The 17,538-nt window shown below is 40.0% G+C and overlaps 1 protein-coding gene across 2 annotated transcripts in view; it reads right to left on the bottom strand.

Annotated features, from left to right (window-relative positions):
- Positions 1–17,538, bottom strand: part of GTPBP10 (GTP binding protein 10) — a 44,738-nt gene that overhangs the window by 14,869 nt on the left and 12,331 nt on the right. For both annotated transcript variants that reach the window (NM_033107.4, NM_001042717.3), the window contains 2 exons: positions 4,357–4,430; positions 2,231–2,283 (listed from right to left, as the gene is read on the bottom strand). In NM_033107.4, coding sequence (NP_149098.2) covers positions 2,231–2,283; positions 4,357–4,430 — 127 coding nt within the window. The remainder of the gene's footprint in view (positions 1–2,230; positions 2,284–4,356; positions 4,431–17,538) is intronic.

Here is a 17,538-nt window from a genome sequence, read left to right as displayed (position 1 = left end):
TTTGTAGGTCATTATTGTTTATACTTAAGCAAATCTCATGGCATTACATGAGGAGCAGAGTTCTATCATCTAGAAGTTCATTCACCTGAGCATGCTTCCTTGTCACCTTGTCATCATCTCATTTTGTGCCAGTATTCAAGTAAGATCAGTCAGGTGAAACAGCACTCGACAAACCCAAGTTGTAGTTGTGGCTCTCCTACTTTCTCCTACTTTTGGCCATTACTTTTAATGGCCAAAACCACAGTTACTTTTGTACCAACATAATAAAAGAATACAGTTTCCTAGACTCCTTTTAGAGGGAATAATCATTATTAACCATCATTTTACACTTGTGCTTTTCTTTTCTTTTTTTGAGAGAGTCTCGCTCTGTCGCCCAGCCTGGAGTGGAGTGGGGCAATCTTGGCTTACTGCAAGCTCCACCTCCCAGGTTCACGCCATTCTCCCGCCTCAGCCTCTGGAGTAGCTGGGACTACAGGCACCCACCACCACACCCATCTAATTTTTTTTTTTTTTTGTATTTTTAGTAGAGACAGGGTTTCACCATGTTAGCCAGGATGGTCTCGATCTCCTAACCTCGTGATCTGCCTGCCTTGGCCTCCCAAAGTGCTGGGATTACAGGTGTAAGCCACCACACCCGGCCACTTGTGCTTTTCAAACCTCACTGTGCATCATAATCACGTAGGGAACTCTTAGAAGCTACAAATGCCCAGGCCCTACCCCCAAGAGATTTAGTTTCAAATCTCTGGGGCCTAAGCATCACTCATCATTGCTGTTCTTAGACCACCCAGATAATTCTGAAGTGCAATAAAGAATGAGAGGCAGTACTCGACATCCCTTGCCCAGTGTAGATAAATAATTCAGGGTCTTAAAGGAAGCTGACAAAGCAGCATGCACAACAGAAGTCTCATGTCCTGAAATTTCCTCTACTGATTTCCCTTAAAAATTCGGTATAAATGATGTTCTCTTTTCCTCTAAATATTGTTCTATATATTCATATTATCCTATATTTAATACAATTTTACTTACAGTTAACATTCTATATTATAACTGGTTTTATCTTTTACTGTTATTATCACTATTATAACCAAATACTTTTTTATGTTTCTTTAAATTATGTCATAAAACTGTATGAACCCATATTGATGCATCGTTAGCACCCAAAGTCTATACTTTACATTGTTGCATTCTTGGTGCTGTACATTCTATGGATTTTAACAAATGTATACTGTGTCTACCATTACAGCAACACAATGTTGCTGTAATATTATATAGTATCATACTTTACTATATGTATTGTACTTTATAGTGTACCCTAAAAGTTCTCTGTACTCTGCTTATTCATCTCTCCTTCCTCCCTAACCCTGGAAATCATTCATTTTTTTTTTTTACTGTCTCCACAGCTTTGCCTTATCCAGAATGTCATATAGTTAGAATCATACAGTATCACACAGTCTTTTCAGATTGGCTTCTCTCACTTAGTATTACGCATTTAAGGTTCCCCTAGGTCTTTTTGAGGCTTGATAGCCCAGTTCTTTTTAGAGCTGAATAATAATCCACTGTCTAAATATATATCACAGTTTATTTACCCATTCACCTACTGAAAGATATCTTGGCCAAGGTTTGGTAATTACAAATAAAGCTGCTATAAGCATCCATGTGCAGACTTCTGTGTGTGCATAACTTTTCAATGTACATGGGTAAATGCTAAGGAGCACAACTACTAGATTGTACATTATATTTTAAATATTGTTACTTTCCTTTTTTTAGTTTTTTTCTAATTATACAGAAGATCCACTGTTGTTACTTGTGAAGGAAAAAATGAATTTTAATAGCTGGTTGAGACCAAAACTCCATTAAAACATTTTCTTTCTCAAAAAAAGAAAAGTTGGAATAAAATCATTACCATGAACTTTAGAGAGCATTTTTAAAAAATGAAGATAAATAATCCAATATAGTAGTAAAAGAAAGACTTGCAATAAGAAGAAACTAAGGCTAAGAAGAAGACATAATGTTGTAGGGATAAACTGGACCTAATCTTTGGAAGAAGAAATTAAATATATTATGATAGTGCTCAGAATTAATTTGACCAGTTTCACTTAGCATAAACAAAATCTTGTTACTTTTTCTCCCCTAACACCACAGAAACAGGCAAAAACTATAATATCCAAGTACGTACCAAAACCAAGTACTTTTGACTTCTAATATAGTGTTTTACTTTAAAAATACCTACCTGTTTGAAATCACTGTACATTATCTTTCCAAGTTCAGGCTTTAATGTTGTAACTAAAAGGAAACACAGCAATAAATTAAGGCTAGAATTTATTTTAGGGCTGGTACTCTCAAAACTGTCTTGGTATTATGCATAAACAATATTTCAATTCAGATTTTGTTCTAATTTGCTAAAATGGAAACTATTATTATCTTTGCTATTTAATATGTACTTGGAGGGCCAAATGTTGTGGCTCATGTCTGTAATCCCAATGCTTTGGGAAGCCAAGGCAGGAGGATCATTTGAAGCTAGGAGTTCAAGATGAGCCTGGGCAGCATAGTGAGACCCTGTTTCTACAAAAAATGTAAAACTAGGCAGACATGGCAGTGCACCTGTAGTCCTAGCTACTCCAGAGGCTGAGGTGGGAGGATTGCTTGAGCCCAGGAGTTCAAAGTTACAGTGAGGTATGATCATGCCACTGTACTCCTGCCTGGGTGACATAGCTAGACCCTGTCTCTAAAATAAATGAATAAATAGTATTTGGAAAAAGACAAACACAGATTTTTATAATCTGTATAGGCCTAATGTAATTACTGAACCTCAACGTTCTTCTATTGCACTTTAAGGTGAGTGATAGATGTTCAGGAGGGTCAGATATTAAGTTTCTATCACTGGATCTGTGGCTGAAATTTTTCTAGTTCCTTCTCATTCAGTTATCCTCTAGTTCCTTCTCATTGTTATCCTTAAGCCTCATCAATCCTACGCTAGCCTCTTTCCTATGACTTTTTGCTCTTCCTTCTCAAGTCCTACATATATTATAACAAATATTGGCCTTGTGATTTATAGCACTTAGTCCAAACTTCACTCTACTTCGTCACAGTCTAATTTTAGAATGGCTTGATTTTATTTTCCAAGTTAATGGCATTCTGTGTCCTTTTAATGATGGCAGAGATCTTATCATACTCACTACTTTTAACCAAAGCTTCTTTTATATCTCATCTAGCTACCACAAGAGCCTACTAACTGGTTGTCTCAGACCCTTCATGTCCCACACCAATCCATTTTCTACATTACAGGCCGAGATCTCTGTGAGGAGCAAACCTAAGCATTTTATCCCTTGCTTAAATGCTTCCAATTGCTCTTAAGATATAAAAATCAAATACAGCCTAAATGGTCTATGTGACATGCTCTCTTACATCTCCAGGCTCATCTCGATTCTTTCCCTTATTTCATGTTCTCTAGACACACAAATCTACTCCCTGCCACCACTAAGGCTTTGTGTACATACTATTTCCTCTGATTAAAGACCCTTCACCCTCCACTCTATTTTACTAATTACCTCATAATTATTCCTCATATCCCAGTCCAAAAATCACACATCCTTAAGGAAGCCTAGAGCAGTCATCTATACTCTTTCATAGTACCCTTTCATATTCCCTTATATTTATTAGTGATATGTACGCCTTACTCCACTAGTCTACAAACTCAATACAAGTCAAAACAGGAGCTGTTTCTGTTTATCAGTCTTTGTAATCCCAGAACCTAATGTGGCTCCAAAAATAAGTATCTGCTAAATGAATGATAAGTACCTTCCTGGTACTTATCACAGTGCCTGATAAAAGGTAAGTGGTTCATAAAATCCTAACTAAACCAAATAAACGATTCTGTGACAGAAAAATAAATGCAATAAAGTAAGTGTCTAACCTGTTTAAGCAACTTTGCTGAGGGGTATAGAGGTTTCAAAGATTAATGGAAAATATGGCTGGGGAGGGTGGCTCACACCTATAACCCAGCAATTTAGAAGGCCAAGGTGGGAGATCACTTGAGCCTAGGAGTTCAAGACCAGCCTGGGCAACATGGCGAAACCCCTGTCCCCACAAAAAAAAAAAAAAAGTTAGCCAAGCATGGTGGCACATACCTGTAGTCCCATCTACATGGGAGGCTGATGCAGGGGGATGGCTTGAGCCTGGGCTGCAGTGAGCCATGATCATGCAACTGCACTTTGGCCTGTGCAACAGTAGTCTATCTGCCAAAAATTTTTCAGTTAAGGATACCCTCCGAGTTATCATTTTATTCATTCTCAGAGAAATATTAGTCTTTAAAAGTTTACCTCCACTCATTAAAATGTACAATCAAATTACACTTACATGCGTAATCTGCAATTGCAGGTTTTGCATGAGAAACACAACTTAGCAAAGAGGATTTTCCAGCATTTGGGAATCTGAAACAAGAATATAAAATTATACACAAATGTCAATATTATTATCTCTGAATTCCTAACAATTCAAGTAGACTTCATGAATATATTTGGGATTAAAAGTAGAATATAAATGTATTATAAATAATCTTGAAAAACTTGAGAACATACACTTACATAAAAGGTAAAGATAAATTCATGCTGGACACTGAAGATGTTTCAATATTTAAAGTGTATAATAATTATTCCAATTATGATTTAAAAATAAAAACCCATTGGAAGTCATAGAAAAAACAGAAATTAAAGAAAAAAAAGAAAAACACCTGTAACTTTCTAACTCCAGCTATACACTGACAAAACATTACCTTGTTTTGTAAACTGCTTTAAAAAAAAATTTTATAGACAGTTTCAAACATATACAAAAGTAGAGAGGTGTAATGAATTCCATTTAGCTATCACCTAGCTTCAACAAATATTAATACATTGGCAATATACTTCTTAAAATTTGGTTTGAATAGAAATCCAAGTAAGGTCTGTACGTTACAAATACCCGGTGTGTCTCAAATCTATTTTCAAGCTCCCCCTACCATCTTGTTTCCTATCTGCAATTTTATTTTTAAAGAAACTGGGTCAGTTGTCCTACAGAGTTTCTTTTCCAAAGTCTTCATTTTTCTACTAGCACCTACATGGACACTTAACATGCTCTTTTTCCCTCTATTGTCTGCAAAAAATTGGCAGTTTTTATAGAGTCTTAATGTTCAAGTTTTCATATTTTTTTGAAGGAAGTAGGGGAAAACTACTTTATAGTTGCTTGGCCTACTCTTTAAACTGAATCATATAAGGTGAACACTTTTCAATGGTGAAGTGTAATTTACTTAACTAATTTCCTATTGACAGACTTTCAGGTTGTCTACAATTTTTCACTCTAAACAACATTGTAAAAAATGTGTATACAGGTAGACAGACACTGTTAATAGTCATCTCTGGGTGGTGGAATTCATAGACAACTTTTTCTTTATGCAAACAAGTGTGTATTATTTGTTTTTTTAAAATAACTTTAAACAATGCAATGACTATCTTTAAACTTTTGCAACTTTTTTCATCTTTTCATAGCTTAATAGCTCATATCTATTTATTTATTTATTTATTTATTTATTTATTTATTTATCTATTGAGATGGAGTCTCGCTCTGTTGCCCAGGCTGGAGTGCAGTGGCGTGATCTTGGCTCACTGCAAGCTCCACCTCCCGGTTCACGCCATTCTCCTGCCTCAGCCTCCCAAGTAGATGGGACTACAGGCGCCCGCCACAATGCCTGGCTAATTTTTTTTGTATTTTCAGTAGAGATGGGGTTTCACCATATTAGCCAGGATGGTCTCAATCTCCTGACCTCGTGATCTGCCCACCTTGGCCTCCCAGAGTGCTGGGATTACAGGTGTGAGCCACCATGTCCGACCTATTTCTTTTAATGTTTTTATTTCAATAGCTTTAGGGGTACAAGTGATTTTTTTGTTGTTGTTGTTACATGGATACATTGTGTAATGGTGAAGTCCAGGATTTTAGTGTACCCATCACCCAAGTAGTGTACATTGTACCCAACAGATAGTTTTTCATCCCTCCCCATCCTCCTGTCCTCCCTCCGAGTCTCCAATGTCCATTATACCACTCTGCATGCCTCTGTGTACGCACAGCTTAGCTCCCACTTATAAGTGACAATATGTGGCACTTGGATTTCCGTTCCTGAGTTACTTCACTTAGGAAGATGTCCTCATTCTTTTTTATGGCTGAGTAGTATTCTATGGTGTGTGTGTATATATAGATACACACACACACACACACACACACTCAATTTTCTTCATTCATTGGTTGATGGGCACTAAGGTTGATTCCATGTCTTTGCAATTCTGAATGATACTGTGATAAACATGTGTGCAGGTATCTTTTTAATATAATGACTTCTTTTCCTTTGGGTAGATATCCTGTAGTGGGATTGCTGGATGAAATGATATTTCTACTTTCAGTTCTTTGAGAAATCTCCATACTGTTTCCATATAGGTTGTACTAATTTGCATTCTCACTCAACAGTGAATTTTAGTGTACCCATCACCCAAGCAGTGTACATTGTACCCAATAGGTAGTTTTGCATCCCTCACTGCCCTCCTATCCTTCCTCCCTCTGAGTCTCCAATGCCCATTATAACACTCTGTACGTCTTTGTAAGAGTTAAGTTCCAAGATGGCCAAATAGGAACAGCTCTGGTCTACAGCTCCCAGCAAGATCGACACAGAAGATGGGTGATTTCTGCATTTCCAACTGAGGTACCTGGTTCATCTCAATGTGGCGGGTTGGGCAGTGGGTGCAGTGCATGGAGGGCAAACCAAAGCAGGGTGGGGCGTTGCTTCACCCGGGAAGCACAAGGGATCGGGGGATTTTCCTTTCCTAGCCAAGGGAAGTCGTGACAGTCTGTACCTGGAGGAGTGGTACACTCCTGCCTAAATACTGCGCTTTTCCCCAAGTCTTTGCAATCGGCAGACCAGGAAATATCCTCCCGTGCCTGGCTGAGCAGGTCCCAAGCCAACGGAGCCTTGCTCACTGCTAGCGCAGCAGTCTGAGATTGACCTGCCATGAGCTGCAGCTTGGCAGGTGGAGGGGTATCCGCAATTGCTGAGGCTTGAGGAGGCGGTTTTGTGCTGACAGTGTAAACAAAGAGGCCTGGAAGCTCGAAATGGGTGGAGTCCACCACATCTCAGCAAGGCCTACTGCCTCTCTAGATCCAACCTCTCTGGGCAGGGCATATCAGAAAAAATGGCAGCAGACAGCTTTGGCAGACCTTAACGTCCCTGTCTGACAGCTCTGAAGAGAGAGTCGTTCTCCCAGCATGGTGTTCAAGCTCTGAGAAGGGACAGACTGCCTCCTCAAGTGGGTCCCTGACCCCCGAGTAGCCTAACTGGGAGACACCTCCCAGTAGGGGCCAAGAGACACCTCATACAGGGGGTTGCCCCTTTAGGACAAAGCTTCCAGAGCAAAAATCAGGCAGCAATATTTGCTGTTCTGCAGCCTCCGCTGGTGATTCCTAGGCAAACAGGGTCTGAAGTGGACCTCCAGCAACCTCCAAAAGACCTGCAGCGAAGAAGCCCGACTGTTAGAAGGAAAACTAACAAACAGAAAGGAATAGCATCAACATCAACAAAAAGCACATGCACACCAAAACCTCATCGTAGGTCACCAACATCAAAGACCAAAGGTAGATAAAACCACAAAGATGGGGAGAAACCAGAGCAGAAAAGCTGAAAATTCCAAAAACCAGAGTGCCTATTCTCCTCCAAAGGACTGCAGCTCCTCGCCAGCAATGGAACAAAACTGGATGGAGAATGAGTTTGACAAATTAACAGAAGTAGACTTCAGAAGGTTGGTAATAAAAAACTTCACTGAGCTAAGGAGAATGTTCTAATCCATTGCAAAGAAGCTAAAAACCTTCAAAAAAGGTTAGACGAATGGCTAATTAGAATAAACAGTGTAGAGAAGTCCTTAAATGACCTCATGGAGTTCAAAACCACAGCACGAGAACTTCGTGACGCACGCACAAGCTTCAATAGCCGACTGGATCAAGTGGAAGAAAGGAAGGATATCAGTGATTGAAGATTAAATTAATGAAATAAAGCGAGAAGACAAAATTAGAGGAAAAAAAACTGAAAAGAAATGAACAAAGCCTCCAAGAAATATGGGACTATGTGAAAAGACCAAATCTATGTCTGATTAGTGTACTGTACCTGAAAGTGACTGGGAGAATGGATCCAAGTTAGAAAACACTCTTCAGGATATTATTGAGGAGAACTTCCCCAACCTAGCAAAGACGGCCAACATTCAAATTCAGGAAATACGGAGAACACCACAAAGATACTCCTCGAGAAGAGCAACCGCAAGACACATAATTGTCAGATTCACCAAAGTTGAAATGAAGAAAAAAATATTAAGGGCAGCCAGAGAGAAAGGTACGGTTACCCACAAAGGGAAGCCCATCAGACTAACAGTGGATCTCTTGGCAGAAACCCTACAAGCCAGAAGAGAGTGGGGGCCAATATTCAACATTCCTAAAGAAAAGAATTTTCAATCCAGAATTTCATATCCAGCCAAATTAAGATTCGTAAGTGAAGGAGAAATAAAATCCTTTATAGACAAGCAAATGCTGAGAGATTTTGTCAACACCAGGCCTGCCTTACAAGAGCTTCTAAAGGAAGCACTAAACATGGAAAGGAACAACTAGCACCAGACACTGCAAAAACATACCAAATTGTAAACACCATTGACGCTATGAAGAAACTGCATCAATTAACGGGCAAAATAACCAGCTAACGTCATAATGGCAGGATCAAATTTACACATAACAATATCAACCTTAAATGTAAATGGGCTAAATGCCCCAATTAAAAGACACAGATTGCCAAACTGGATAAAGAGTCAAGACCCATTGGTGTACTGTACTCAGGAGACCCATCTCATGTGCAAAGACACACACAGGCTCAAAATAAAGGGATAGAGGAAGATCTACCAAGCAAATGGAAAACAAAAAAAGGCAGGGGTTGCAATCCTAGTCTCTGATAAAATAGACTTTAAACCAACAAAGATCAAAAGAGACAAAGAAGGCCATTACATAATGGTAAAGGGATCAATTCAACAAGAAGAGCTAACTATCCTAAATAGGTATGCACCCAATACAAAAGCACCCAGATTCATAAAGCAAGTCCTTAGAGAGCTACAAAGAGACTTAGACTCCCACACAATAATAATGGGAGACTTTAACACCCCACTGTCAATATTAGATCAACGAGACAGAAGGTTAACAAGGATATCAAGGACTTGAACTCAGCTCTGGACCAACCAGACCTAATAGACATCAACAGAACTCTCCACCCCAAATCGACAGAATATATATTCTTCTCAGCATATCGTACTTATTCTAAAATTGACCATATAATGAGAAGTAAAACACTCCTCAGCAAATGCAAAAGAACAGAAAACACAAGAAACTGTCTCTCAGACCACAGTGCAATCAAATTAGAATTCAGGATTAAGAAACTCGCTCAAAACCACACAACTACATGGAAACTGAAAAACCTGCTCCTGAATGACTACTGGGTACATAACGAAATGAAGGCAGAAATAAAGATGTTCTTTGAAACCAATGAGAACACAGACATAATGTATCAGAATCTCTGGGACACACTTAAAACAGTGTGGAGAGGGAAATTTATAGCACTAAATGCCCACAAGAGAAAGCAGGAAGGATCTAAAATGGACACCCTAACATCACAATAAAAAGAACTAGAGAACCAGGAGCAAACACATTCAAGAGCTAGCACAAGGCAAGAAATAACTAAGATCAGAGCAGAAATGACAGAGATAGAGACACAAAATACCCTTCAAAAAAATCAATGAATCCAGGAGCTGGTTTTTTTTTTTTTGAAAGAATCTACAATATAAATAGACCGCTAGCAAAACCAATAAAGAAGAAATGAGGGAAGAATCAAATAGACGCAATAAAAAAATGCTAAAGGGGATATCACTACTGATCCCACAGAAATACAAATTACCATCAGACAATACTATAAACAATTCTATGCAAATAAACTAGAAAATCTAGAAGAAATGGATAAATTCCTGGACACATACATGCTCCCAAGACTAAAACAGGAAGAATTTGAATCTCTGAATAGACCAGTAACAGGTCCTGAAAATGAGGCAATAATTAATTGCTTACCAACCAAAAAAAGTCCAGGACGAGGTGGATTCACAGCTCAATTCTACCAGAGGTACAAAGAGGAGCTGGTACCATTCCTTCTGAAACAATTCCATTCAATAGAAAAAGAGGGAATCCTCTCTAACTCATTCCATGATGCTAGCATCATCCTGATACCAAAGCCTGGCAGAGATACAACAACAACAACAACAACAAAAAGAGAATTCTAGGCCAATATCCCTGACGAACATCAATGCGAAAATCCTCAATAAAATACTGGCAAACCGAACCCAGCAGCACATCAAAAAGCTTATCCACCATGATCAAGTTGGCTTCATCCTTGGGATGCAAGGCTGGTTCAATGTACACAAATCAATAAACCTAATCCATCACATAAACAGAAGCAACGACAAAAACCACATGATTATCTCAATAGATGCAGAAAAGGCCTTCGAGAAAATTCAACAGCGCTTCATGCTAAAAACTCTCAAAACACTAGGTATCAACAGAATGTATCTCAAAATATTAAGGGCTATTTATGACAAACCCACAGCCAATCTCATACGGAATAAGAAAAACTGGAAGCATTCCCTTTGAAAACTGGCACAAGACAGGGATGCCCTCTCTTACCACTCCTATTCAACACAGTGTTGGAAGTTTTGGCCAGGGCCGTCAGGCAAGAGAGAGAAATAAAGGGTATTCAATTAGGAAAAGAGAAAGTCAAATTGTCCTGTTGGCAGATGACATGATTGTATATTTAGAAAACCCCGGCCGGGCGCGGTGGCTCACGCCTGTAATCCCAGCACTTTGGGAGGCCGAGGTGGGCGGATCACGAGGTCAGGAGATCGAGACCATCCCGGCTAAAACGGTGAAACCCCGTCTCTACTAAAAATACAAAAAAATTAGCCGGGCGTAGTGGCGGGCGCCTGTAGTCCCAGCTACTTGGGAGGCTGAGGCAGGAGAATGGCGTGAACCTGGGAGGCGGAGCTTGCAGTGAGCCGAGATCCCGCCACTGCACTCCAGCCTGGGTGACAGAGCGAGACTCCGTCTCAAAAAAAAAAAAAAAAAAAAAAAAAGAAAACCCCAAAGTCTCAGTCCAAAATCTCCTTAAGCTGATAAGCAACTTCAGCAAAGTCTCAGGACACAAAATCAATGAGCAAAAATCAGGGGTGGGGTTCCAAGATGGCCAAATAGAAATGGCTCCAGTCTACAGCTCCCAGTGCGAGCGATGCAGAAGATGGGTGATTTCTGCATTTCCAACTGAGGTACTGGGTTCATCTCACTGGGGCTTGTTGGATAGTGGGTGCAGGACAGTGGGTGCAGCCCACTGAGTGTGAGCCAAAGCAGGGCAAGGCATTGCCTCACTTGGGAAATGCAAGGGGTCAGGGAATTCCCTTTCCTAGCCAAGGGAATCTGTGACAAACAGCACCTGGAAAATCGGGTCACTCCCACCCTAATACTGCACTTTTCCAATGGCCTTAGCAAATGGCACAACATGAGATTATATTCCGCACCTGGCTTGGAGGGTCCCACGCTCACGGAGCTTCACTCATTGCTAGCACAGCAGTCTGAGATCGAACTGCAAGGCGGCAGTGAGGCTGGCGGGGGAGGGGTGCCCGCCATTGCTGAGGCTTGAGTAGGTAACAAAGCCACCTGGAAGCTCAAACTAGGTGGAGTCCACCACAGCTCAAGGACTGCTTGCCTCTAGAATCCACCTCCGGGGGCAGGGCATAGCCAAACAAAAGGCAGCAGAAATCTCTGCAGACTTAAATGTCCCTGTCTGATAGCTTTGAAGACAGTAGCAGTTCTCCCAGCACGGAGTTTGAGAACTGAGAACGGACAGACTGCCTCCTCAAGTGGGTCCCTGATCCCCGAGTAGCCTAACTGGGAGGCAACCCCCAGTAAGGGCAGGCTGACACCTTACATAGCCAGGTACCCCTGAGATGAAGCTTCCAGAGGAACGATCAGGCAGCAACATTTGCTGTTCAGCAATATTCACTGTTCTGCAGCCTCTGCTGCTGATACCCAGGCAAACGGTCTGGAGTGGACCTCCAGCAAACTCCTACAGACCTGCAGCTGAGGGTCCTGACTGTTAGAAGGAAAACTAACAAACAGAAAGGACATCCACACCAAAAACCCATCTGTACGTCACCATCATCAAAGACCAAAGGTAGATAAAACCACAAAGATGGGGAAAAAAACAGAGCAGAAAAGCTGAAAATTCTAAAAATCAGAGCACCTCTCCCCCTCCAAAGGAATGCAGCTCCTCCCCAGCAATGGAACAAAGCTGGACAGAGAATGACTTTGATGAGTTGAGAGAAGAAGGCTTCAGATGATCAGAATTCTCCGAGCTAAAGGAGGAAGTTGGAACCCATCACAAAGAAGCTAAAAACCTTGACAAAAGATTAGACGAATGGCTAACTAGAATAGCCAATGCAGAGAAGTTCTTAAATGACCTGATGGAGCTGCAAACCATGGCATGAGAACTATGTGACGAATGCACAAGCTTCAGTAGCTGATTTGATCAACTGGAAGAAAGGGTATCAGTGACTGAAGATTAAATGAATGAAATGAAGCAAGAAGAGAATTTTAGAGAAAAAAGAGTAAAACGAAATGAACAAAGCCTCCAAGAAATATGGGACTATGTGAAAAGACCAAATCTACGTCTGATTGGTGTACCTGAAAGTGATGGGGAGAATGGAACCAAGTCAGAAAACACTCTGCAGGATATTATCCAGGAGAACTTCCTCAACCTAGCAAGGCAGGCCAACATTCAAATTCAGGAAATACAGAGACCACCACAAAGGTATTCTTCAAAAAGAGCAACTCAAAGACACATAATTGTCAGATTCACCAAAGTTGAAATGAAGGAAAAAATGTTAAGGGCAGCCAGAGAGAAAGGTCGGGTTACCCACAAAGGGAAGCTCATCACACTAACAGCTGATCTCTCGGCAGAAACTCTAAAAGCCAGAAGAGAGTGGGGGCCAATATTCAACATTCTTAAAGAAAAGAATTTTCAACCCAGAATTTCATATCCAGCCAAACTAAGATTCATAAGTGAAGGAGAAATAAAATCCTTTATAGACAAGCAAATGCTGAGAGATTTTGTCAACACCAGCCCTGCCCTACAAGAGCTCCTGAAGGAAGCACTAAACATGGAAAGGAACAACCGGTACCAGCCACTGTAAAAACATGCCAAATTGTAAAGACCACCAACGCTAGGAACAAACCGCATCAACTAACGAGCAAAATAACCAGCTAACATCATAATGACAGGACCAAATTCACACATAACAATATTAACCTTAAATGTAAATGGGCTAAATGCTCCAACTAAAAGACACAGACTGGCAAATTGGATAAAGAGTCAAGACCCAAGAGTGTGCTGTATTTAGGAGACCCATCTCACATGCAGAGACACACATAGGCTCAAAATAAAGGGATAGAGGAAGATTTATCAAGCAAATGGAAAACAAAAAAAAGGCAGGGGTTGCAACCCTAGTCTGTGATAAAACAGACTTTAAACCAACAAAGATCAAAAGAGACAAAGAAGGCCATTACATAATGGTAAAGGGATCAATTCAACAAGAAGAGCTAACTATCCTAAATACATATGCACACAATACAGGAGCAACCAGATTCATAAAGCAAGTCCTTAGAGACCTACAAAGAGACTTAGACTCCAAAACAATAATAATGGGAGACTTTAACACCCCACTGTCAACATTAGACAGATCAACAAGACAGAAAGTTAACCAGGATATCCAGGAATTGAACTCAGCTCTGCACCATGAGGACCTAATAGACATCTACAGAACTCTCCACCCCAAATCAACAGAATATACATTCTTCTCAGCACCACACCGCACTTAATCCAAAATTGACCACATAGTTGGAAGTAAAGCACTCCTTAGCAAATGTAAAAGAACAGAAATTACAAGGAACTGTCTCTCAGACCACAGTGCAATCAAATTGGAACTCAGGATTCAGAAACTCACTCAAAATCACTCAACTACATGGAAACTGAATAACCTGCTCCTGAATGACTACTGGGTACATAACGAAATGAAGGCAGAAATAAAGATGTTCTTTGAAACCAATGAGAACAAACATACAACATACCAGTATCTCAGGGACACATTTCAAGCAGTGTGTAGAGGGAAATTTATAGCACTAAATGCCCACAAGAGAAAGCAGGAAAGATCTAAAATTGACACCCTAACATCACAGTTAAAAGAACTAGAGAAGCAAGAACAAACACATTCAAAAGCTAGCAGAAAGCAAGAAATAACTAAGATCAGAGCAGAAATGAAGGAAATAGAGACACAAAAAACCCTTCAAAAAAAATCAATGAATCCAGGAGCTGGTTTTTTGAAAAGATCAACAAAATTGATAGACCGCTAGCAAGACTAATAAAGAGGAAAAGAGAGAAGAATCAAATAGACGCAATAAAAAGTTATAAAGGGGATATCACCACTGATCCCACAGAAATACAAACTACCATCAGACAATACTATAAACACCTCTATGCAAATAAACTAGAAAATCTAGAAGAAACGGATAAATTCCTCGACACATATACCCTCCCAAGACTAAACCAGGAAGAAGTTGCATTCCTGAATAGACCAATAACAGGCTCTGAAATTGAGGCAATAATTAATAGCCTACCAACCAAAAAAAGTCCAGGACCAGACGGATTCACAGCCAAATTCTACCAGAGGTACAAGGAGGAGCTGGTACCATTCCTTCTGAAACCATTCCAATCAATAGAAAAAGAGGGAATCCTCCCTAACTCATTTTATGAGGCCAGCATCATCCTGATACCAGAGCCTGTGAGACACAACAAAAAAGAGAATTTTAGACCAATATCCCTGATGAACATTGATGCAAAAATCCTCAATAAAATACTGGCAAACTGAATCCAGCAGCACATCAAAAAGCTTATCCACCATGATCAAGTGGGCTTCATCCCTGGGATGCAAGGCTGGTTCAACATACGCAAAGCAATAAATGTAATCCAGCATATAAACAGAACCAATGACAAAAACCACATGATTATCTCAATAGATGCAGAAAAGGCCTTTGACAAAATTCAACAGCTCTTCATGCTAAAAACTCAATAAATTCAGCATTGATGGAACGTATCTCAAAATAATGAGAGCTATTTATGACAAACCCACAGCCAATATCATTACTGAATGGACAAAAACTGGAAGCACTCCCTTTGAAAACCAGCACAACACAGGGATGCCCTCTCTCGCCACTTCTATTCAACATAGTATTGGAAGTTCTGGCCAGGGCAATCAGGAAGGAGAAAGAAATAAAGGGTATTCAATTAGGAAAAGAGGAAGTCAAATTGTCCCTGTTTGAAGATGACAAGATTGTATATTTAGAAAACACCATCGTCTCAGCCCAGAATCTCAAGCTGATAAGCAACTTCAGCAAAGTCTCAGGATACAAAATCAATGTCCAAAAATCACAAGCATTCTTATACACCAATAACAGATAAACAGAGAGCCAAATCATGAGTGAACGCCCATTCACAATTGCTTCAAAGAGAATAAAATAGCTAGGAATCCAACTTACAAGGGATGTGAAGGACCTCTTCAAGAACCACAAACCACTGCTCAACGAAATAAAAGAGGACACAAACAAATGGAAGAACATTCCATGCTCATCGATAGGAAGAATCAGTATCATGAAAATGGCCATACTGCCCAAGGTAATTTATAGATTCAATGCCAGCCCCATCAAGCTACCAATGACTTTCTTTACAGAATTGGAAAAAACTACTTTAAAGTTCGTATGGAAACAAAAAAGAGCCCCCATTGCCAAGTCAATCCTAAGCCAAAAAGCAAAGCTGGAGACATCATGCTACCTGACTTCAAACTATACTACAAGGCTACAGTAACCAAAACAGCATGGTACTGGTACCAAAACAGAGATATAGACCAATAGGACAGACCAGAGCCCTCAGAAATAATAACACACATCTTCAACCATCTGATCTTTGACAAACCTGACAAAAACAAGAAATGGGGATAGGATTCTCTATATAATAAATGGTGCTGGGAAAACTGGCTAGCCATATGTAGAAAGCTGAAACTGGATCCCTTCCTTACACCTTACATAAAAATTAATTCAAGATGGATTAAAGACTTAAATGATAGTCGTAAAACCATAAAAACCCTAGAAGGAAACCCAGGCAACACCATTCAGGACATAGGCATGGGCAAGGACTTCATGTCTAAAACACCAAAAGCAATGGCAACAAAAGACAAAATTGACAAATGGGATCTAATTAAACTAAAGAGCTTCTGCACAGCAAAAGAAACTACCATCGGAGTGAACAGGCAACCTACAGAATGGGAGAAAATGTTTGCAATCTACTCATCTGATAAAGGGCTAATATCCAGAATCTACAAAGTACTCAAGCAAATTTACAAGAAAAAAACAAACAACCCCATCAAAAAGTGGGCGAAGGATATGAACAGACACTTCTCAAAAGAAGACATTTATGCATCCAACAAACATATGAAAAAATGCTCATCATCACTGGCCGTCAAATGCAAATCAAAACCACAAGGAGATACCATCTCACACCAGTTAGAATGGCGATCCTTAAAAAGTCAGGAAACAACAGGTGCTGGAGAGGATGTGGAGAAATAGTTAACACTTCTACATTGTTGGTGGGACTGTAAACTAGTTCAACCATTGTGGAAGACAGCGTGGCGATTCCTCAAGGATCTAGAACTAGAAATACCATTTGACCCAGCCATCCCATTACTGGGTACATACCCGAACGATTATAAATCATGCTGCTATAAAGACAGATGCACACGTATGTTTATTGTGGCACTATTCACAATAGCAAAGACTTGGAACCAACCCAAATGTCCATCAATGATAGACTGAATTAAGAAAACGTGGCACATATACATCATGGAATGGTATGCAGCCATAAAAAAAGATGAGTTCATGTCCTTTGCAGGGACATGGATGAAGCTGGAAACCATCATTCTCAGCAAACTACCATAAGGAAAGAAAACCAAACATTGCATGTTCTCACTCTTAAGTGGGAGCTGAACAAGGAACACATGGACACATGGTGGGGAACATCACACCAGGGCCTGTCAGGGGGTGGGGGTCTGGGGGAGGGATAGCATTAGGAGATATGCCTAATGTAAATGACGAGTTGATGGGTGCAGCAAACCGACATGGCGCATGTATACCTATGTAAGAAAGCTGCATGTTGTGCATACCCTAGAACTTAAAGCATAATAAAAAAAATTTTTTTAAGTTAAAGAAAAAAAAAAAGTATGAGTTCTCTTTTCCCCACATCTATGTCAGCACGTATTGTTTTTTGACTTTTCCATAATGACCATTCTAGCTAAGTTG

Source organism: Homo sapiens, chromosome 7 (assembly GCF_000001405.40).
Source record: "Homo sapiens chromosome 7, GRCh38.p14 Primary Assembly".
In the NCBI taxonomy this organism is placed as follows: domain Eukaryota; kingdom Metazoa; phylum Chordata; class Mammalia; order Primates; family Hominidae; genus Homo; species Homo sapiens.
This window is presented reverse-complemented; position numbering and strand designations above follow the sequence as displayed.